The sequence below is a fragment of the Homo sapiens genome, chromosome 1 (genome assembly GCF_000001405.40).
Source record: "Homo sapiens chromosome 1, GRCh38.p14 Primary Assembly".
Classification (NCBI taxonomy): Eukaryota; Metazoa; Chordata; class Mammalia; order Primates; family Hominidae; genus Homo; species Homo sapiens.
This window is the reverse complement of record NC_000001.11, coordinates 156,941,172-156,963,912: the sequence shown is the minus strand read 5'-3', so window position 1 is coordinate 156,963,912 and position 22,741 is coordinate 156,941,172. Positions and strand designations below refer to the sequence as shown.

Here is a 22,741-nt window from a genome sequence, read left to right as displayed (position 1 = left end):
TTATTTTGTTGACTGACAGTCCCACCCCAGATCTTTTGCAAACAGGAAGAGAGCATTTTCTCCTACTTCCCATCTTCATATGTCATGTGACCAGGCTGCTCTGAATCTGCCCTGCCCCACCCAGAAGCAGTTGACTTCCTGCAAGTGGAAATCATTTCATCTGTGCTCTGATTTTGGGGGCGGGAGTGAGATGCCAACGTTCACCAGACCCGGGTGGCTTTGTGAGTGCTGTGCTGCAACTAAACAAACTTCACTGAGGTGGTTGAATCCTCTGTCCTCTATAACCTCTCATCTCTGCAATTTGACTCTCTCCCCCAGGGTGTAGATCAAAGCCCAAAGCCTTTAATTATTGGCCCAGAGGAAGACTATGACCCGGGTTATTTCAACAACGAGGTAACGGTTTCCTAGTTTTCTCCTTTCATCATTTTTTTTTGTCATACAAGCTGCTCTTGACTAGAAGCAGTTTGACTAGCATCAGCTGTGAAGGGAACTTGAGGCGGGGAGCCTCCTGTTATGAACCCAGGACGGGGAATCACATGGGAGCTAAGCTGGAACCCGCTGTGCTGCTGTGCCCGGCTTCCCACCATGCTCATCCTTCTGCCTTCCAGAGCGACATCATATTCCAGGATCTGGAGAAACTGAAGTCTCGGCCAGCTCACCTGGGGGTTTTTCTACGTTACATCTTCTCTCAGGCGGACCCCAGTCCACTGGTAAGTCAGAATCATCTGTCTTGATTGAGTGCCTGCTGGTACTGGGCAGAGAGGACCTCTAGCCTCTGTTTCTGCTCCCTGGCTGTTACAAGTCAGATCCATGGGCACAGTCAGGCATTTCAAGGACAGACAAAATAGCCAAGAAGATGAAACCTATGGAGAGGGGATTTTTCACTGTATGACACAGCTAACTAACTACATCAGCTGCCTAGGGAGGAGCAAGAGAGCAAGGCCAGGAAAACTCATTCTTGATCAGTTCAGGAAGTCGTCTTGGAGAAGTTGCTCTTCCTAGAGTTTTTTTTTTTTTTTTTTTTTTTTTTTTTTGAGACGGAGTCTCGCACTGTCGCCGAGGCTGGAGTGCAGTGGCGCGATCTCAGCTCACTGCAAGCTCCGCCTCCCAGGTTCACGCTGTTCTCCTGCCTCAGCCCCCCGAGTAGCTGGGACTACAGGCGCCCGTCACCATGCCCGGCTAATTTTTTTGTATTTTTAGTAGAGACGGGGTTTCACCGTATTAGCCAGGATGGTCTCGATCTCCTGACCTCATGATCCACCCACCTCAGCCTCCCAAAGTGCTGAGATTACAGGCATGAGCCACCACGCCCGGCCTCTTCCTTCGTTTTTTAAACGAAGGTAGATACAGACCGACTAGGGAGTTGAGAGAGTGGCCCTGTGAGAAAACTTGCAGATGGCAAGGCTTAAAGGGTCTTCCGTGTGAAGGTGATGACAAGAAGGAATGTGAAGGGATGGAGACCAAAGTGCCGGGGAAAGTGCTCAGAGCCAGCAACCTTCCCAGTTTCCTTATTCTGCTCAACTGCTTAGAACGGGAGGGCAGATGGAGTAGAGGAGTTGCGGTTGTATTCTTCAGAATAAACTTCTCACCTGGGGCATGGGCTGCTGTTTTGTCTTTCTGGGGATACCATCAGAAGCCAGAATGAACAGCCATCCACAGGTATTCATTGAACACCTGTGTGCATGTCCAAGTGCCAGAAGCATTCCTGAATAAAGACAGGGCACACCACAAAGAGAAATAAAACATGAACCCTTAGGAAACAAGACGTAAACCAGCACAAGACACAAGTGAAATAGCACGTGTGGAGAGGATACAGAGTTGAGGAGTGATCAGTGTTGAAGATGTGCCCGTGGGAAAGGGGGTGGGGATTATTTTACCACAGGTTTCTGAAATACTCTGACCCCAGCTTTCTCAACTGTTCTGAACTGGAGAATTCTTTGTTGTGGTAGACTGTTCTGTGCCTTTGGGGAAATATGGCTGCATCACTGGGCTGTACCCACTAGATGCCAGTAGCACCGCACTTGCCCAGTAGTTGTAACAACTAAAAATGTCTCCAGACATGGCCAAACGTCCCCTAGGGGGCAAAATCACTGCTGGGGGAGAACCACTGCTCTAACCCAGTTCTCTCTCCTCCTAGCTTTTTTACCTGTGTGCAGAAGTTTATCAGCAGGCAAGCCCCAAGGATTCCCGAAGCTTGGGGAAAGACATCTGGAATATTTTCCTGGAGAAAAATGCGGTAAGGCAGTCATAGATTGGATTATAATTTTATCATATTCTTTGAACTACTCAGAGGCAGGGAAAATTAAGCAAAACATCCAGGCCAAACAGAGACAGGTTCTTAAAGAGAAATCTAGGCTGAGAGATTAATATTCCTGGATTCTGTTCCTAGCGCCACTCTCAAAAAATCTCACAGTACCTCTGTTGTTCCACATATAGAATACACATTGCCTGTCTCTGGAATGTTTGGAGGAAGAGATTGTACCAAATTCTCCCTATTCTCCCCTCATTCAGTGCCCTGGTTCCCCCCAACCCTCCCTGCCTTGCCCATCCCTAGGCCGAAGAAACAGAGGTCTAGAGACATCAGATGACCTAGATCCGTGAGGCAAGAGGAGAACCCAGGTTTCTGAAGCTCAGTCTGAGTTGCTATTACTGCCCAAAGGCAGGAGTCAGAGATGGGAGGCCCCAGAGTGTCTGGGATAGACAGCACGCTGTGCATTGGGACAGAGTTCCCGGGGTATGTCAGGGATCCCGCTGGCAAGAGCATTTCTGCCTGCAAAGGGCAATCGCCATCCCAGACTTTCTAATCTGATCAACTAGACTAATTCCAAGGTGACTTTATTCTTTTGGCAGTAAGCTAGTAGGGTTAATGAGGTTGGAGAAAATTGGTTTTTCTTAAGAGTTTTATATTTGCCCTCTTAAATGGGTCTTGAGTAGGGAGGTTAGAGCTGCCAGTTGTTCTCTGTTGGTTGTTATGGAACCTTTCCAGTATCCAGGTGTCAGGGACTTGTGTAGCAAAAGCCAGAACACCATGCTAACTGCAAGGCTGGGTGACACAAGGCTAGCTTTCCCATGGGAGTGAGCGGGAGGGAAAGTCCACCAAATAGCCTAATGAAGGCTTTTCCTTTTCCCTTGCTGCTAAGTCAGCACAGGTCCACTTTTTGGACAACATGCCATCCCATGCGCTCTAATGGCCTGGAAATAAGAGTGAAAAAAACTGCCTGTGCCGCCCTCAGAATATAGTACCAGCTTGCTCTGTAGCCTCAGACTCCATTTCCCAAAAACCCTAGCCTAGAATTCAGGTGTGCAGTTGGAGAGTGATGAGAAGGATGGTAGGCAGATGTAGGCGAAAAGGCAAGAAGTTCATGTGGCCAAGCCCTCCTCGCCTTGCACACTGCTCATCTCCCTGGAGTGTGCAGACCTGACTGCTTCTGCTCCACACTTCTGTTTTTTAGCCTCTGAGAGTGAAGATCCCTGAGATGCTACAGGCTGAAATTGGTAAGTTGGCTCATTGGTCGGTAAGTCTCTTCTTGGTAGCTTTCTTGTCCTGAGCTCTCAGGAGGCTCCAGAGGACAGAAGGGACATAGTCCCTGTCCTTGGGCAACCGTCCTGTAATAGAGGAAAAGACCCATGGGATGATTGCTCCAGAACACTGCACAGTAGCTTACGGACAGGTGCAAATGGGACAGACCCTGCCTAGGCGCTCACTCTGCCGGGGGGAGCTTGTCATGGGAAGACATTGGACTTGGAGTTAGGAGACCTGGGTTCATGTCTGCCAGCCTTCTACATGACCTCTCTGGGCCTCCGTTGGCTTATCTGAACAAAGAGGAAACAGACTTGATTAGGGATTCCTCAGCCAGGTTGATTGTCAAGAATCCCTTGGGGAACTCAAAAAATACAGAAACTAGGGCCTCGCTCCATCCTCCCTGCAGAGTTGGAATCTCCAGAGTGGTTTTTCTTATTGTTTTTTTTGGGGGGGGGGGAGGGGGGGTTATTTTTGTTTTTATAAGTTCCCTAACTAATACTGACAGCAGCGAGTCCAGAGTGAGGACCAGGCAGGCTAGATGGTGCCCGTCTCCCTTCTCCTTCTAATCATGAGTAGAAGAATTAAGGAGAGGCAGTCTAAGGTGATGTCAGCCTGAGAAGCTAATCACTGGCAGCTTTTTAGAGGACAGGAATTGGAAGCTGCATTTAGAAAGAGATGATTTACGGGCACATGTGACGGGGAGGAAAGCCCAGGCATAGGGTAAACAGAGCTTGCTCAAAAGCAGAGTGAGAATGAAACACAGCTCCCAAGGACTTAGCCTAGCCTGGGTGGAGCTAGATGCAGGGACTAGAGGAGAGACATCTTTCAGTTTCTACTGGGGAGCTCAGGTTTCATGGAGTGTGAAGTGCTTGCCTTTTTTAGCCTTGTGAGCTGCTTCTGGAGCAGTAGAGGGGAACAAGCCTCTCAGAGGTCTGCACTTGGATGTCAGAGAATGGTACTTAGACATATCCAATGAGAGGGACTTTAATACTTCTCTTAATGGAGCACAGAACATCCAGAAAATATTTTTGTCCTTGCCTTGGACTTTAGATATCAGCATCCAGTCCTGAATTCAGGAATGACCTGAGAGGTCCAGGCCTCCTCTCCTTTTAGACTAACAGGGCAGAAAGCCAGCCCTTCCTCCCAGTGTCATAGGGAGCTGAAATGCCTTGAGATGCTCAGCAGAAGGGATCCCCCTCCACCCCCAGTACCCCATCCACTCTGCTTTCTCTGATCTCCCACTACAGACTCGCGCCTGCGGAACAGCGAAGATGCCCGTGGTGTTCTCTGTGAAGCTCAAGAGGCAGCCATGCCTGAGATCCAAGAGCAGATCCACGACTACAGGTTGGCCCAGGAGCTGACCTCCCACCTCTCTCCTCGTTCACCTCCGCCTCTTGGCCCTGGCTCCTTCCCTCTGGGACGTGCACATATCTCTTGTTATATGTGTTTGTCTTGTTCTTTCTGGATGTCCATCTGTTGAGTATTTGTGTATATTTCTTTCTTTCCCTGTGTTTATCTGGCTTAGAACGAAGCGCACACTGGGGCTGGGCAGCCTGTATGGTGAAAATGACCTGCTGGACCTGGATGGGGACCCTCTCCGAGAGCGCCAAGTGGCTGAGAAGCAGCTGGCTGCCCTTGGAGATATTTTGTGAGTCTTTCAGCTTCCTCCCACCCCACTGAACATCCTAAGCAGGTTGACATATTTTGTGGGTCTGTTCTTTCAACCTCTCCCCCTCTTCCACTTCTTGCCTGATTCTCCTGCCCCTGAAAGATGGGGAGTCCTGCACTCCTGCTGCATTGGTCAGGCTGAGGGCTGCAGGTGTTCAAGGGTGTGGCAGAGCCTGGAGCTCCTGATAGTCATTTGGTGGTTATGACAGACCACGGGCCCCAGGAATGTGGTAAGCTTTCTGCTTTCCCCTGCTGGCCCTCCTCCTGACCTCTCTCCCTTCCTGCCTCTAAGATCTTATCTGTCACAGAGAGTGAGGCCAGTGATGTGTGTGCCCAGTGGATAAAGTTCCTTCAGGAGGCAGCTAGAACTGGCTTAGGGGAAATTGAACCATCTTTTACTAATCCACATCAGAAAACTGAACTAGTGCAATATACTAAGGTGCTTCTGGCACAGCCGCTTTTGTTATGTTTTTCTAGCGCCATTTTCGAAAGTGTCATAGGCACCTGTGATGCAAGCCCCAGTATCACAGACTTTATGGGGACACTTCAGGCTTAGAAGCAATTTTTTGCCCTACTACTGCTTCTCACTAAGTAGTTATGTGACCTTGGTTAAGCCATTCCATACAAGTCAGATCCATAGGCACAGCCAGGCACTTTAAGGACAGGGTAAAAATAGCAAAGAAGATGAAACCTATGCAGTCTCTGCTAAGGCTGATATTTCAACTCGGCAAATATTTATGGAGTTCCTGCTATGTACCAAATACTTGTGCATCAGACGTACTTCTCTCCTTTTCCCCCACTAACCCTCCTTTCATCTAGGAAAAACTTACCCTCCTCCTAGCCTCTAACCAGGTGACCAGCCTCTGTCTTTGCAGTCTGAGTCATCTGTTCTTTCTTCCATTCCAGGTCCAAGTATGAGGAAGACAGGAGGTAAGCAAGTCTATGATGTGGATTTGCAGCTTTCAAGGTGGAAGGAGTGGGGTTGAGCTACTATGCTTTCCATTTCTGACAATCACAGGGGAGTCCCTCATGTTGTACAACCATGAAGGACCGTGGTTCCTGAAAGTCTAGCACTCAGGTGTCTGTATGACCATAACATAGGGGTGATGAGGCCCACGCCCCTGATGCTCAGGGATCACTGCCTGGGGATGTGGGTCTGCTCCTCAGTGGGAAGACACCAAGCTGCCATCGCTTCTCACAGTCCCATACCTGGTGGCAGCTTCTCTACCCAGATGAGCCCTTTGTCTCTCTTCTCACGTCTTTCCCTTAAACTACCTCAAGTAGTAACAGTAATCGTGGAATCAGCCTGTTAGTGACATCTGCAGAGGGGAGCTGGGGTGCAGCATAGTTCCTTTCTTGGCACATGTTAGAATTTTTTTTTTTGCAGCCTATATATTTATCTCATTGTTTTTCATTAGCCAAGGTTAAAATGAGTCTGCATTCCCTGAGCATACACATTAATAAGGGAGAGAAAATGGGGTTAGGAGTCTGTTTAAGAGGGAAATACAGACAGAGCTGAAGCCTTGCTGCATTGAATGCATAGAGTGGGTCATCATCCATCCAGCAAATTGTGGGTACAAGGACATTTTTAAACAGAGCTCTGGACATTTTCATTTGTGGCAGTTGGAAGCCACCTGACAGCTCCTTTTCCATCTCTTTTTCTCTGTACTGGGGTGGGAGGATGGTGAAGGCAGTGTACCTTGGCAGAGGCTGCTTGGCATTTCTCCTTTCCCCTGGCCTCCCCACCCCTGCACATATGCCTGAGAGTATCAGCTGCAGACCTCAGCCAGTCCTCCACATCTGCCTATGGCTTGACCAGGCAGGAAATTATTTACTTACATTTTAGGGAATTGGCATGTTCTTCCACTGACCATCATCTGCTCATGGGGAAGAGTTCTGCTTAGGGAAAGAATAAGACTTCTCCTGGGAAAAGTCTTATTCTTGGTTACCTGTGGGCTCACTGTGTGGAGAAGGTCACAGCCCAGACTTTTAGCCAGCTTCTGCCTGCTGTCCCATTTAATTATTCTAGACTTTTCTTTGAATACTTTCACCTGTAACTACCCCTTCCCCACTCCACTGCGTGGTGGTGAAGAGATTGTTTGGCACAGGGAAGATAACTTGAGCTCTCTGATTCAGGACACTGTTCCTCTTTTACAGCGCCCCCATGGACTTCGCCCTCAATACCTACATGAGCCATGCTGGGATCCGTCTTCGAGAGGCACGACCTTCCAACACAGCTGAAAAGGCCCAGTCTGCTCCTGACAAGGACAAGTGGCTACCGTTCTTCCCTAAGACCAAGAAGGTGAGGGCCGGGCATGGTGGCTCATGCCTGTAATCCTAGTACTTTGGAATGCCAAGGCGGGTGATTGCCTGAGCTCAGGAGTTCGAGACCAGCCTGGGCAACATGGTGAAACCCCATCTCTATTAAAATACAAAAATTAGTCCAGCATAGTGGTGCATGCCTATAACCCCAGCTAATCGGGAGGCTGAGGCACGAGTATTGCTTGAACCCGGGAATTGGAGGTTGCAGTGAGCCAAGATCATACCACTGCACTCCAGCCTGGGCAACAGAGTGAGACTCTGTCTGAAAAAAAATAAAAAGAAGGTAACAGAGCTGTCCTGGAAAATATCTCCTCTTGATGCAGTTCTCTGTGCTGAGGTAGGTCAGGAAAGCCGTTTTGCAGGTCTCTGGCTACATCCCTCCACCTGGATGTGGAGTCAGTGAGGACCCCCAGACTAGAGCAGCTCTCAGTCTCTTCCAAACCCAGGCCAGAGGCGAACATGCTTGTTAGGGTACCAGCAAGAGTCAGCTCTCCAGTTACTTGCTGAGGGCCAGCCTTGGGGGACAGTGGCAGAATTGATTAGCAGCCACGCCTGGGTATCAGGACCTCCTGCAAACACCAGTGTCTCCTGTCTCAGCAGAGCAGCAATTCCAAGAAAGAAAAGGATGCCTTGGAGGACAAGAAGCGAAACCCTATCCTCAAATACATTGGGAAGCCCAAAAGCTCTTCTCAAAGCAGTGAGTATTTGGGGAGCAACAGCCTTGGGCATTCCTTGGGCAGGGACCTCAGCCCTTTCATGTACCAGTATGTTGGCAGAGGGCCTTCCTGTGTTTCTGGGAGCCACAGGCCCAAACTCAGACCACAGCCACTTTCTCCCCTTGCCAAATCCAGTGCAGGATCTCTGAGGTTCAGGTGAATGTTTCCGAGCCAGGGAAGCCGTGCCGGTCCCTGGGTCTTAGTCTAGGAACCCAGAGCAGTTCTAGCTACCAAACGACCACGTGAGAAACATTTCCCCTCGGCAAGGATCGCCCTGTGGACAGAAAATGCCCCCTTCACCTTCATCCAAGGGTCTATAATTGGTCCTAGCACACAAGACTACAGTAGTATAGATGCGGGCGGGGGATGGTTGAGTCACTATTAAAGTAGAACTAGTCAGGTTGGGGGCAAGTTTGGGACCCAGAGATTCCCCTAATGCCATCAGTAACCCAAAACTCAACTGATCCTATCATTGATCTCTTCCCAGCGTGTGTCATTTGTCTGGAAATTGTTGCTGGCCCCTCCCAGTCAGTACCTTAAGCCCCCCAATATCAATGGGAATCTGTGAAGGGCAGTGGGGTGGGCTGGCCTCCCTTTCTGAAATTGCTGCATTGCAGGAAACGGAAAGAGATTCTTCTAGATCAGCCTTGATTTTCGCCACTACCTTTTAATTTTTTGGCTTGATGTAATTTTTATTTTGATTCTTAAAACATTGATTGACTTTTCATGGTTTACTTTTGTTTTTGTTTGTTTTTCTTTTAGCATTTCATATTCCCTTGTCCCCTGTGGAAGGTAAAAGGACCATTTTATTTGGGTTTGTCTTTGCATTAGCATTGAGTTTCCATCTCCCAAATCTTGTCTTTTCTGTTTCTTTCTCATCATCTCCCATCCTGTTCCTCCTCCCTCCCTTTCTTTCTTCTCTCCATTTCTCTTATGCGTTGCTCATTGTTGCTAAAGCTGCTGTGTGCTGCAAACCCTGTGGGGGATTGGGGAGGGCACCACCCTCATGCCAGGTACGAGACCTTGTCTCCTAACTCAGAGTTCCAGGGGGCAAGGCCCCTTCTCCTGCAGGGACAGCTCCTTCTGGTAGTTCTGGCCAAGACTAGACTTCTGGTTCCTCTGGCAGTTTTTCCATAGCCTGAGGCCTTTTCTCTATAATTCAGTCACATCTCCAAGGATGAGGGTCCAAAAATCCAGAGTTCTGTATAAGTGAGGGGAACCCTCACACATTGAAGGGTCTTACAGTGAAGCAGAAGTGCCTCAGATTTTTTTTTTTTTTTTTTTTTTTTTTTTTTTTTTTTTTGGAGACACAGTTTCACTCTGTGGCCCAGGCTGGACTGCAGTGGTGTGATCTTGCCTCACTACAAACTCCGCCTCCCAGGTTCAAGGGATTCTCGTGCCTCAGCCTCCCGAGTAGCTAGGACTACAGCCATGTGCCACTACACCCAGCTAATTTTTGTATTTTTAGTAGAGATGGGGTTTCACCATATTGGCCAGGCTGGTCTCGAACTCCTGACCTCGGGCGATCCGCCCGCCTTGGCCTCCGAGAGTGCTGGGATTATAGGCATGAGCCACTGCGCCCGGTCAGTGCCTCAGATTTTTGTTTTCAGTTAAAATAATTAAAATGTCAGTTTTGAAGGTGATTTTATTTTTTATGTAAAGTATGGGTCTCCAACAGTTTTTCTCTTGGATATTTTTGTTCTTATCATCTACTTAAGCCCTTCAGTATAGCACCTCCATCTCTTTTGACGTTTGACTGCCAGCACTGTATAACCACAGCAGTGAAAAAAGAATGACCCTAAATGTATTTTAGAGGACCTAGTATCTTCCAGAATCCATGTATTTAAAACATTAATGTGATACACATTAACCCACAAGAAGCTTAGAGCCTACAGTGAATTGTCACAGAATTGAGCAAGTTCATTTCCTGTTAATAAGGTCCATATGCGTGCAACTGATTAACACTTTCTAGGTTCTACAATAAATATATATAGAGAGAGAGAGAGAGACAGCAATGGGATGCAACCTGGAAACTATTCTGTTACTGCAATTTATTTTATGTAAAAGTGACAATTAAAAATATTATCTTCCAAATTAGTTTAAAAGTTACTAAATTCCTAGACTGTATGCCATTTTAAGCAGTAAAAATAAGGAATTAATGTAAAAAAGTTTATAAAACAAGGGGAAAAAAAAGAATGGCCTTGAAATCCAGTCCTCAGGTTTTTTTGTTTTTGTTTTTGTGTTTTGAGACAGGGTTTCGCCCTGTTGCCCAGGCTGGAGTGCAGTGGTCTAGTCATAGCTTACTACAGCCTTGAACTCCTGGCTCAAACAGTCCTCCCACCTCAGCCTTCCAAGTAGCTGGGGCCACAGACATATATCACCACACCTGGCTAATTTATTTTTTGTAGAGAGAGGGTCTCACTATATGCCCAGCCTGGTCTCAAACTGCTGGGCTCAAGTGATCCTCCTGCCTTGGCCTCCAAAAATGCTGAGATTGTAAGCATGAGGCATTGTGTGCCTCGCCACTTTGCTCTTTTTAAAAATGCATTTCCTTCTACCTGTTTCTCCCCTGTTACTCTGGGTCATTCAGTTATACCAGATCTCAGGGCTACGCCTGTATTTTGCCACAGCTAAGGTATAACTCTATCTAGAACATTAATTGTGCATTTTCCAAGTGGCCCATGGGAAAGGGAAGAGTGGACTCAGCCTGCCGGCTTTCAGTTATAGGATGTTCCCAGGCTCCCACATCATCACCCAGCCAGGGCGGCTCAGGGCTGCGGCTGCCCAGCTGGCCCTGGCATCTGCATGGCTTCAAGGCCCAGATGCACGTTCAGGCTGGGACAGGCAGATCTGCTCTTAATCTCCAAAGTGAGAGTGATGGTAATAGCCCTACTCCTGTCATGTGCACCCACAGCTACTTACACAGTTTTAGAAAAATATTCCCTAGCCACTTGCCTAAAGGCTGTCAAGTTGTAAACTGTGAAGACAGCAGCTAAATTTTTTTCTGTTCTCTCTGACTTAGAAGTTTTCTTATGAAAGTCAGATTTTGAGACAGATTTGTAAGTTTGTATATGTAGATGTCAGAATCTCTGAAGTAGGATCAGGGCCCAGACCCTGGGCTGTTGATATTGCCTCCCCATTTCCCCTTGTCCTTTCCGCTGGTCTCAGGCAGCCAGCATTTCTAGCCCACCCCTGTTCTAATATGGATGGGCTCAGAACTGAGCTAGTTGACTTGAAGGTGAATTCCTTATCTCTCTTCCCTCCTGCTGAGAGCCACAGAACTCTGGGTCTGAGTTCTCCAGGGGCTGTAGTTGGCATTACCTGTGCCTTTTCACTCTACCATCTGCCCTCTCTGTCTGAACAGGAACAGCTCTCTTCTGTCTTAGCTTTGAAAGGGGGCTGGAATTTGAATGCCAGTGAAGTCTCTCCTCTGTTCCTCCTAGGTCACCTCTTACGGTACTAAAGAGTCTGATTCTGTAGTGATGAAGGCCAGAGAAGGGCAGAAAGGACAGGAAGGAGAGGCAGAGAAAAACAAATAAAGAACTCTAAAATTCATTTAAATTTGAGAAATGTCTGATATATTTTGGCAACATGGCCAAATTACATGTAGATGTGCTTTGGTCTTCCTGGCTGTTTTTTAACCTGTATGTGGCTTTTAGGAAAAACCTAATCATGACTTTCAAGCAGAAGCGTTATTATAATAATGTGAGAGCCAAAAGAATGCTTATGGAAAATATACTTCCAAACCCTCTCATTTTGCGCATGAGGAAAGAATCAACCCAGAAAGGTAGTGTGACTGCCCAGGGCCACACAGCATATTCATAGAAGAGCCAGGACCAGAACACATCTCCTGACTCTTGGTCCAGTGCTGTTCTCATCCACGCTTGCTCATTGCTCTGTCTTCTGGGATCTGGGGAAGTCCAAGCCTGAGAAGCCATCCCTGAACAGCAAGCCTAGTGTCCTTCATTTTCTTTTTGCTTCTAGTCAAACCAGGCAATGTGAGGAACATCATTCAGCACTTTGAGAACAACCAGCAGTATGATGCCCCAGAACCTGGGACACAACGACTCTCGACCGGAAGCTTTCCTGAGGACCTGCTGGAGAGTGACAGGTAGCACTGGCTGGATGGGACTCGCCAGCTGCTCGAAGAGTGGGTCATGGGCAGGGCTGATGCTAGGGTTTAATTCCAGCTACTTGACCCCTCTCCACTAGCTTCTAAGGCTCCCTTTACAGAACTTCCTCCCCACCCCCAGTATCTTCAGGAGACACATTGTGTGCCAGTGAACAGGCCAGTGGAAGAGCAAGCAGATCCCCGACTTCCAGCCCAAGAACTACACACTTTTCAAATTCCCTTTGGATTTATCACCTGACTACTCAGTAGCCTTCATCCAAGATCGAGCTAGGTGATAAAAAGCAGCTAATCAGGAAACCCTAAGTGACAAGGATAAGGAAGACTATAGTGGGGGCAAGAGGGAGTCCTGGGGAAAAAAGACCCAGGCAGGCAAAAGAAAGTGGTTTCCTGTCTGTATGTGAAGAAGAGAGCCAGAGATGAGGTTCTGCTGGGTACTTTAAAGACAAATGATGTAACTATAGGCATCAGATGTCCACCTCAGCAAAGAGAGGCAAAGTGGATTGATTACAAATGGACTGTTTTTCCCTTTTCAAGAAGAAAAAGGGGAATTGAGACTGGCATCTCTCATATTCTTCTTTGGTCAGGTTCTAACTAGAGTCCCCATCTGGTATGAAAACTTGTTCTTGGACTTACTTGCTCTTGATTGTGGCATGACAGCAGTCAAGTCATGTCTAAAATTCTATAGCCAACACTTAAAAACCAACACCACCCTTAAAGGTGACTTAAACAGGTAGAGTAATATGGTCTTGTGTGGGGGGAAATAATGCTTGTGTACAGTCAAGCCTCAGAGCCACTGAGCTGGAGTATAGGCAGGCATGAAAGCAAGTCAGTATGCAGCAGCGTGGATATTCAAGCCATTTTGCCTTCGTTTGTTTGTTTGTTTGTTTTGGGGATTTTTTTTTCTTTTTTAAAGAGACAGGATCTTTCTCTGTCACCCAGGCTGGATTGCAGTGGTGCAATCATAGCTCACTGCAGCCTCAAACTCCTGGGTTCAAGGGATCCTCCCACCTCAGCCTCCTGAGTAACTAGGGATACAGGCATGCACCACTGCACCTGGCTAATTGATTTTTATTTTTATTTTTTTGAGACAGTCTCACTATGTTGCCCAGCTTGGTCTCGAACTCCCAACCACAGCAATCTTCCTGCCTCAGCCTCCCAAAGTGCTAGGATTATAGGCATGAGCCACTGCACCTGGCCTATTTTGCCTTTGAAATAACTAATTATCAAACCATAAGCCAACCTTTCCTGCTTGAATGCAGGTTACTCCTTTCTGTTTATATGAAGCCTTTTTTCAGCTTAACACGTGTTAAAAGATTTTGCTGCCATGAGAATTGACAGATTTACAGGAGACAAAGGTTAGATTTGTACTGGGGGAAGGTTGAGTTCTAACATTAATGGGTAAGTTAAATACGCAAATTATGTGATTCCTGTGGAAGCACATGATGTCGTAGATATATCAAATATTTTAAGATTATAAGACATCAACATTTTGAGAAAATATTTGAGACCATTTACAAAGTTGCATTCTTGGCATTGCTAGGTAAATTTGCCCTAAGACACTTGCTAGGATCCTAAAGCTACTCTAAGCAGAAGCCTTTGGGTTTGATGATTATCAACTCATTGGCAATCTCAGAAGAAATAGTATTAGCAATATGGTGGGTCAGAGATTGTTGTAGATACTCAACAGGTATAAGATGCCCCAGTTCTAGAAGGCAATACCCTAGGAATTTGGGGGCAAAGACAGATGATATGCCTCACTTCTTGGTGAGGAGCATTACTTACTTCTGGGTGCTTGAAGGAAGGTGCTTAGCTCTGCAGCCCCAGTAACTCCACTGGGTGTTTGTTGTGGTGGTACAGTGACCCATTAGGACACTGAAAAGTGTTCCGAGTTAGTCTGGGTTGGGATTGTTCTAACACAATTCTGGAGGGTGAATTCAATAAGGGATCAGTGGGCAGTATGTTTTCTAACCCTGCAGACAAAACCCTCAGGACCCTAGGAGATGAGCTCCATTTTGGATCATCTGGCAGTTTGGGCACAATGAATGGAGACCGAGACATTTAGCTCCTCATTGCAGCAACCTGCTGTGCTATTAAGAGCTCTGCAGACATTTCCAGGCCTCCTGTGGTCCTAGAAGCAGAGCAGGATGTAGATTACTAATAATATCAGAAAACCAGCCCAACAGGGCCACAGCATGGAGGTGGGGTGACCATCCTGGGGCAGCTAGGGGTCAGAGGTGCCAGCTGTCTTGGGCTGATGCACTGCAGGACTCGACACCGCAACACCCAGTCATCAGCATCTCATCAAACCCCAGAGACACTCAGTAGCCAAGCACGGCAGGCCAAGGAGCGGGTCCTGCCTATCAGTAAAAAGGCCCCTTTAAGCACAAGCCTGTCTGCTCTTGAGAGGAAATGGAATCTTAGGAACAGTATTGTTAAGATAAGAATGGAACTCATCCACATCACAACTGGAAGGCTAAGAATCCAGCAGCAGATAGAACTTTCTGACAGGCAGTGTGGAAAATCCTAAAATGAGCTGTGAATATAGTGACTCCACTTTCCTCTTAAGACCTCTTAAAAGAGGTTCGCCTCAGGCAGAGTTAAAGGTGGGAGCTGACCCGTTCCAAAGCAGAGGCAACGTGAACTGGCCACTAGGGGCAGGGAGCTGGGACCTTGTGTTCCCTGTTGAGGGACGATGATGTCTACCACCTTCTTGACAGAAGCATGGTGTCTCAGGCCTCTGGACACACTACAACTCAGAGTCTGTTAGCCCCAGATTTCATCTTCCTGTTAGGATCCCTTCCTAATAGCTCCAGAGGAAGATGACTGTCCATCCATCAGGCTAGGCTGGGGAGAGAGGAGGAGTTTGTAGAGCAGCAAAAATAGTCTGTCATTGAGAAGCTTCCACTGCCATCCAGCTGCTTTGGCCATGTTCAGGAGGAGAACCTGTGGCACGGAGGCATCTTTGAGATGGAGCCACAGGTAAGAGTTAGCCAGGATGTAAGCATGGCCCACTGACTTCCCAAGTCCCAAAGTCTTTTGTCCCTTCCCCCCAGTTCACGCTCAGAGATTCGCCTGGGCCGCTCTGAAAGCCTCAAGGGCCGGGAAGAGATGAAACGGTCTCGAAAGGCAGAGAACGTGCCCCGCTCTCGCAGTGATGTTGACATGGATGCTGCTGCGGAGGCTACTCGCCTGCACCAGTCAGCCTCGTCCTCTACCTCCAGCCTCTCCACCAGGTGGGCAGGGCTACAACGGCTGCACCCATGGACATCTCAGGGGTGGCGGCAAGGATAGAGGGTTGCTGAGAGTTGACATTCCCTCCACAGGTCTCTTGAGAACCCAACCCCTCCATTCACTCCCAAAATGGGCCGCAGGTAAGTGATGGGCACGGTGGTGCCTCTGTTTGGTGTCTCTGTGTCCCATCCACACCCAGCTGCTCCTCTCACCTGCAAGGGGCTGGTTGGGTGGCTGTCTCCTCTTCTGGGCCCACTGGTTTCCCATGTGCATGGGGCAAGCAGGTCGGGCAGGAGAGGGAGGGCCAAACCCTCTGTGTGAGTTCTTCCTCCTAAATGAAGCTGAGCTGCCTGTTTTCCCCCAGGAGCATTGAGTCCCCCAGTTTGGGGTTCTGCACAGATACCCTCCTTCCCCACCTCCTAGAGGATGATCTGGGCCAGCTGTCTGACCTGGAGCCAGAGCCAGATGCCCAAAATTGGCAGCATACAGTGGGCAAGGATGTGGTGGCTGGGCTAACCCAGCGGGAGATTGACCGGCAAGAGGTCATCAATGGTGAGAACGTGCTCCACTGCCCCCAGCTCCGCTCACACGTGTGGGAATAGGTCCAGAATGCCTAAGACACAAGGGTGGGAAAGAGGTAAATAGGGTGGGGGGCCCCTGTGTGCTGGAGCAGGTCCACATTGCCTGTTGCTATAAGGTTCCCCTCAGTTCTGGCCCTTGGAGTAAGAGAAAAGTTGCTGTATGATCTGAAACTGGCACTTCAGTTCCCCCAAAAATAGAGTGGTGTGGGAACCAGGTCAGGGACTCTAGATACTTGCTGATCCGTTTTCTCCCTGGCTTTCTACCCTCCTTGTCACAACCACCGCTCAGAGCTGTTTGTGACTGAAGCTTCCCACCTGCGCACACTCCGGGTCCTGGACCTGATCTTCTACCAGCGAATGAAGAAGGAGAACCTGATGCCCCGGGAGGAGCTGGCCCGGCTCTTCCCGAACCTGCCTGAACTCATAGAGATTCACAGTAAGGAGCCTGTGCCCCTCCAGACTCCTCTTCTGCTGCCCTTCAGCTTCCTGTTCCACTTTGGCCCCACTGCCAGGACCTCCCTGAGTAGGTAACCTCCCACCAATCCCTGGTGAGAAAAAGATCTGTGGACAGCCTGAAACCAGCACTGGAGTTCACCCCGAAAGTACAATGGTTTCCAGACCCTTCCCATGGCACTGCTGTCAGAGATTCACTTCTCTCTGTCAGAAAGGTTCTGGCAGTTGAGCTCAACCCCAGGCATTTCTATTTGTTCTCTTCCTGCCCCAGATTCCTGGTGTGAAGCCATGAAGAAGCTCCGGGAGGAAGGCCCCATCATCAAAGAGATCAGTGACCTCATGCTGGCCCGGGTATGGCTCCAAACTTCTCCCTCTTGGCAAGGAGGAGATTGGGGGAGGCAGGGTCTCATTACCCAAGGCCAGAGAATTTGGCAAAGGCAGGGGTCTGGTCCCAGGCAGGGGTTTGATGCCTGGCCCCGTGTCCATTCTGCCTCTTCAGTTTGATGGCCCTGCCCGAGAGGAACTCCAGCAAGTGGCTGCACAGTTCTGTTCCTATCAGTCAATAGCCCTAGAGCTAATCAAGACCAAGCAACGCAAGGAGAGTCGATTCCAGCTCTTCATGCAGGTGCGTCCTTGGCCATGCCTTGGCCTTCCTTCATCTCCATCAAGGTCACCAAGGATCTCCTGAACTTCTCTCCTTCTGGCCACATCATCCCTGTCTACAGCAACTCCCTCTACCCTTCGACACACGCTCCTCAAAAGCACTGACTCACTCTAGACAAAGAGACTTCTGTTTGTTGGAAAGAATCCTGGATTAGCAGTCAGAGGCCTGGCTCACCCACCAGCACCTGTGTGTCCTGAGATGGATCTCAGTTTCCTTGTCTATAGAATGGCAGCAATATGCCTGCCCTTCTGTTTTGACCATATCCCTTTGGATTGGTGTCTCCCTGCCACCACACACCCTTCTCTACATCTTTAAGGAAGAAGCTTCCACTGCCATTTCTGAGTGATCCATCTGGCGTTAGGACCTGTTTGTCATGTTCACACCCATCTTGGCCCTGAGCCCATAAGCCAGCTCCCAGCCACGCTGACATCTCCTCCCTTCTGTGTCTCCTGCTGTCTAGGAGGCTGAGAGCCACCCTCAGTGTCGGCGGCTGCAGCTGAGAGACCTCATCATCTCTGAGATGCAGCGGCTCACCAAGTACCCGCTGCTGCTGGAGAGCATCATCAAGCACACAGAGGGTAGCACCTGGGGAGGGGCTGGCATCACAGGCAGTGGGCCTCGTGCCAGACCCTCATTCTGACACTGCTTTGTGACCTTAGCAAGTCACTGTGCCTTGTGGTCTTTGGTGTCTTCGTCCTTTTTCTGTTGTGGGGTGTTTCAGAGAAGAAAATGATTGTAAATGTCCTTTGGAAAATATAAGGTGTTTAATAGTGGGAGGAGTAGGGGCCACCATCGAAGGCCACCTGTGTGGGCCTTTGTGCAAATCCAAGGAAAGCATCCGGTGCCCAACACAGGCTGGCACTCAAGGGCACCTGGGTCCCTCTGGTTGCATGGGGCTGGATTTTATCCCCATTCATGCCCCCTGCAGTGCACAAAAGACACAGCCTATGTGGTTACACTAGAGGGGCAGGGGACCAGACTGAACAAGAGGGTCTAGCCTCAGGTTATCACTCTCCCTGGGATCCTGGGCATCTTTCACTACCCCCAAATTTCAGACATTGGAGTCAGGACAGAGAGGTGTTAGGAACCCCAATCTGATTTGAACAGGCTTTCTAGAGGCATAATTGTGGCCATTTACCACAGTCTCTGTCCCTTGCATCTGTAGAGCTGGTTGTAGTAGAGGCAGGGATTCCCAGGAGCTATCAGCGTCTTCAAAGCAGTGATCTGTCTGAGACCTGAAGATGCTCAGTAAAAGTTACCCTTACCACTTGGGGTCCTCATGTGAGGCAAGGGTGGCTCCCCTCCACCCACGCCTGCTGGTTTGAAGCAAGCCAGCTGCCATGGATGAATAGGCAGATAACAGCTGGCGCCATGTTGGACTTCTCAGGCAGGAGCCCCAACCATCTCTTCTGTCCATTTTGGTAGGTGGCACCTCTGAGCATGAGAAGCTGTGCCGGGCCCGGGACCAGTGCCGGGAGATTCTCAAGTATGTGAATGAAGCGGTAAAACAAACAGAGAACCGCCACCGTTTAGAGGGCTACCAGAAACGCCTGGATGCCACCGCCCTGGAGAGGGCCAGCAACCCCCTGGCAGCAGAGTTCAAGGTAGGAGGCAGAGGCTGCAGCAGTCAACCCCTCACACTTTGTGGGTACCCTTAGGAGCAGAACACTGGTCAGGGCTTGGAGAGTCTTAGAGGTAGGAGACAGAGACCAGATAGGGTGGCACAATGGAGCCCCAGAAGACACACACCCTGCTATTGTCACCCTGTCCCTAGATGGACAAGGCAGGCCGCCCCACCTAAGAAAGACTAGATGTTGGAACTCAGCCTGAGAGAGCAGGGGATGGGGTAGAACTGGAGGTAAGGTGGAGATCTTCTGGGAGGGAATAGAGCTGGAGGCATGGGCAGGAAAAGCAGTATGTGATCTTCTTGGGACTGTAGCTGGCACGTGGTAGGGGCAGGTGGGAGACCCAAGTCAGAGCCATTGGTATATCCCCCTGCTGCCACATGGCACATGACTTCACAGTTACCTTTTTGCTTGTCTTCATCCCGCACAAGAGAGTAAGGGCAAGGACTTTTTCTTATTTACCAATTCCCAGCACCTTAACACAATGTCTGGCACACAGTAGGCTCTCAAACACTTGAATGAATGAATGAATGAATGAATGAATGAATGGTGTCTCCTTAACAGAGCCTGGATCTTACAACCAGAAAAATGATCCATGAGGGACCCCTGACCTGGAGGATCAGCAAGGATAAGACCTTGGGTATGTGCCAGGGGACTGGGACTGAGCAGGAACCTGTAGTGGGTGGGCCTCCCTGGGCTCTTCTGTCTTTCCCAAGCATGGAAACATGACTGGAGGTGATAGCTCAGGACATGGGAAGGGAATAATCAGAGAGAGAAATGGGGTCACCAGACTCCCAGGACTTCCTAGAGCCTCCAAGAGCCTGTGGCCCTGCATTGTGCTCATGAGGGATGAGTAGGCACCAGGGAACACCTTCCCATGACCATACCCCTCCAGACCTCCACGTGCTGCTGCTGGAGGACCTCCTAGTGCTGCTACAGAAACAGGATGAGAAGCTATTGCTGAAGTGCCACAGCAAGACTGCTGTGGGCTCCTCAGACAGCAAGCAGACCTTCAGCCCCGTGCTCAAGCTCAATGCTGTGCTCATCCGCTCTGTGGCCACAGGTACCTGGGGAGATGGTCCAGGCTGGCCTGGGGCTCAGGGACCATGTCCAGCAAGTGCTGGGTGAGGCAGGGCCAGTCTGGAGCCTTTACAGGACCTACCTGTCCACCTGTGTTCCTTTCCTCCTGTCCTGACCCAGCCTAAGTGGTAGGACTGGCCCAAAGTGGGGTAGGATGAGGGTTAGGATGGGGACCAAGAGGAAGACAGACAACCTGGCACAGGGGTGGTCAGCAGTCCCCAAGCACAGTGCTGGATGGGATGTGCACACCCAGGATGGGTGAGAGTGTCTGAGCAGGATTGGGAAGAATGGGATTAGGCAGAATGAGTAGGACAAGCCTTTCTGCTACAGAGTGACTTGGGCAGAGCTTGGTTACAGAAGATGTTAGTACCCACGGTACAGAGCTGGGTCCAGTGGACAGGGACATTTCAATGAGAAGTGTAGTGTGTGTGAGAAAGGGCTCTGGAGCAAAATTCTCTGGATTCACTTTCTTCGTCTGTAAGATAGGAGTGATACCTACCCTACCTCTTGTGGGCATCAAAAGGGATGACGGGTATGAAAAAGTTTTATAAACCCTTGACCAGGCACTGTGGCTCATGCCTGTAATCCCAGCCCTTTGGGAGGCCGAGGCACTCAGATCACTTGAGGTCAGGAGTTCAAGACCAGCCTGGCCAACATGGTGAAACCCTATCTCTACTAAAAATACAAAAATTAGCCAGGCATGTTGGCAGGCACCTGTAATTCCAGTTACTCGGGAGGCTGAGGCAGGAGAATCACTTGAACCCGGGAGGCGCAGGTTGCAGTGAGCCAAGATGGCACCACTACATTCTAGCCTGGGTGACAGAGCAAGAATCCGTTTCAAAAAAAAAAAAAGTTTTATAACTCCTAAGCACCATACACCTATCAGCCATCACTGTTATTAGAGCAGGAGAGGAATGGGGGTGGCTGTGGAAGATGACATTAGGGGTCCTGGAATTTCCTCTGTCCCTTATGTAAGTGGGTTCCAAGTGGTCCTGAAGATCCACATCTGTCTCGTGCTGCACTCTCCATCTGCGTTGAGGGTCAGGGCTTTGAGTCCCACTCTGTCACCCTGGCCCAGGCTGCAGTCACACCTGCCATCCCTAGTACAGACCCTTCTACCTTCCTTTCCTCACACAGATAAACGGGCCTTCTTCATCATCTGCACCTCCAAGCTGGGCCCACCCCAGATCTATGAGCTGGTTGCATTGACGTCATCAGACAAGAACACGTGAGAATTGATTGAGGGGTTACCCGTAACTGTGGTCCCTTTCGGACCAGGGTGGTGTTTATGAGGACAGTGGGTAGCAAGGCCAGGTTTGGGCCCCAAAGCAGTCCCTGGACAAGGGGTTGGGAAGGAAGTGGGAGGTAGGACAGAAGTAGAGAAGCTGGGAGGGGTCATCACCCCCGACCTGGTCACCAGGCCCGCTTCTGGGAGAATGAGCTTCTGGCAGTCTTCCAGCCGCTGCTGCTGCTTCTTTCCTTCCTGCCCTACTCCCTTCACCATTAGGCAGATTAGATTCATGCATCCTTCTCAGGCATTTGCCTCCCACCCAGCCCATGTTCTTTGACAGCAGCTGCCAGAGGTGGCATGGTACAGTGGAAGGAGACAGGTTGAGTCAGACTGTTTCCCAACTCCAGGGTTTTCATCTGTAAAATGTGGCTAATGCTACCTGTTAGAGGATTACTTTAGAGGGAAAACATAGAATGCTTTGCACAGAGTGTAACAGAGGGTTGGTGTCCAGGATTTGGTAGCTGCAAGTAATATAACCGCAAGGGAGCAGCCAGGGAGGACTGTACAGGGAGGTGGGCACCTGCCAGGCAGAGGGTTCTTAGGGCCTGGAAGCCCTGTTCCAGTGGGCTCAGTACGGGGTGGTGCGTGCTGCTATCTTGCTCTCACTACAGTCCTCTCTGTTCCTGCCGAGCAACAGATGGATGGAGCTCTTAGAAGAGGCCGTGCGGAATGCCACCAGGCACCCCGGAGCTGCCCCAATGCCCGTCCATCCTCCACCCCCAGGTCCCCGGGAGCCAGCCCAGCAGGGCCCCACACCCAGCAGGTGCAGTGCTTAGCCCTCCAGACCCTGCACTCTCTCCACTCCAAACCTCCTGTTTCCTGCTGCTTTTAAGCCCTTCGCCCCCGTGGGTAGACAGCCACAACAGGGAAATGCTAGCAGGGAGCAGACAGCTCCAAGTGCTGGCAGATGGAGGAACATGCCCCCTGTCCCTGCTTCTTGTCCCTGTCTGCTCCCCCACAGCCTGCCACCTGGCTATAATAGAGCTGAGCCTGAAGAAGGGTGAGGGGGATGTAGAGCAAGGGACCAGAGAAGCTCAGCTAGCAGCCCCCCTCCTCTCTGGGTTGCCAAGCAGACCAGCCAGGTGAAGAGGCCCACACCGTCCTTCTCGGATCCTACTCCATTGCCCATTCTAATGCATGAGTCCAGGGTGGAATCTCATGGGATCTCATCCTGTGTTGGTTTCCTTCCTCAGGGTAGAACTGGATGACTCAGACGTGTTCCATGGTGAACCTGAACCTGAGGAGCTGCCTGGAGGTAAGGGCCCTGAACTGTCCTGTGGGAGCCAGCCCAGGCCTTTTTCTGTAGGCACAGGTTGGGTGTGAGTATGGGGGCGATGGGAGAGTCCATCAGGGCCCGGGGTGTGAGGTTTTGATAAAGAGTAGAGAAGAAACAGGGCGGGAGGAAGAGTCTGGAAGAGGAAGGAGAGCAGACTGAACAGACTTAAGAAAGGGTGA

General features: G+C 49.8%; 1 protein-coding gene across 26 annotated transcripts in view, besides 1 other annotated feature; it reads left to right on the top strand.

The window, feature by feature from the left end:
* The window catches only part of ARHGEF11 (Rho guanine nucleotide exchange factor 11), a 112,064-nt gene that overhangs the window by 82,991 nt on the left and 6,332 nt on the right, over nt 1-22,741 (top strand). For 10 of the 26 annotated variants that reach the window (XM_047435301.1, NM_001377418.1, XM_017002923.3 and 7 more), the window contains 24 exons: nt 319-393; nt 609-710; nt 2,138-2,236; nt 3,453-3,495; nt 4,771-4,867; nt 5,049-5,171; nt 6,098-6,121; nt 7,349-7,493; nt 8,111-8,210; nt 8,992-9,021; nt 12,214-12,340; nt 15,415-15,594; nt 15,685-15,732; nt 15,957-16,144; nt 16,463-16,609; nt 16,898-16,977; nt 17,126-17,251; nt 17,751-17,868; nt 18,716-18,894; nt 19,480-19,555; nt 19,811-19,978; nt 21,133-21,223; nt 21,924-22,049; nt 22,480-22,541. In XM_047435301.1, the coding sequence (XP_047291257.1) occupies nt 319-393; nt 609-710; nt 2,138-2,236; nt 3,453-3,495; nt 4,771-4,867; nt 5,049-5,171; nt 6,098-6,121; nt 7,349-7,493; nt 8,111-8,210; nt 8,992-9,021; nt 12,214-12,340; nt 15,415-15,594; nt 15,685-15,732; nt 15,957-16,144; nt 16,463-16,609; nt 16,898-16,977; nt 17,126-17,251; nt 17,751-17,868; nt 18,716-18,894; nt 19,480-19,555; nt 19,811-19,978; nt 21,133-21,223; nt 21,924-22,049; nt 22,480-22,541 (2,554 nt within the window). Of the gene's footprint in view, nt 1-118; nt 222-318; nt 394-608; nt 711-2,137; nt 2,237-3,452; nt 3,496-4,770; nt 4,868-5,048; nt 5,172-6,097; nt 6,122-7,348; nt 7,494-8,110; nt 8,211-8,991; nt 9,022-12,213; nt 12,341-13,895; nt 15,341-15,393; nt 15,595-15,684; nt 15,733-15,956; nt 16,145-16,462; nt 16,610-16,897; nt 16,978-17,125; nt 17,252-17,750; nt 17,869-18,715; nt 18,895-19,479; nt 19,556-19,810; nt 19,979-21,132; nt 21,224-21,923; nt 22,050-22,479; nt 22,542-22,741 lie in introns of those variants that run through there. The other 16 variants (XM_047435294.1, XM_047435306.1, NM_014784.4 and 13 more) reach the window with 5 other exon arrangements.
* Nucleotides 4,343-4,412: a silencer, noted in NCBI's record as "silent region_1442". NCBI's record gives its function as "represses an Ori minimal core promoter by ATAC-STARR-seq in GM12878 lymphoblastoid cells {active_cell/tissue: GM12878}" and the evidence as "EXISTENCE:reporter gene assay evidence [ECO:0000049][PMID:35858748]".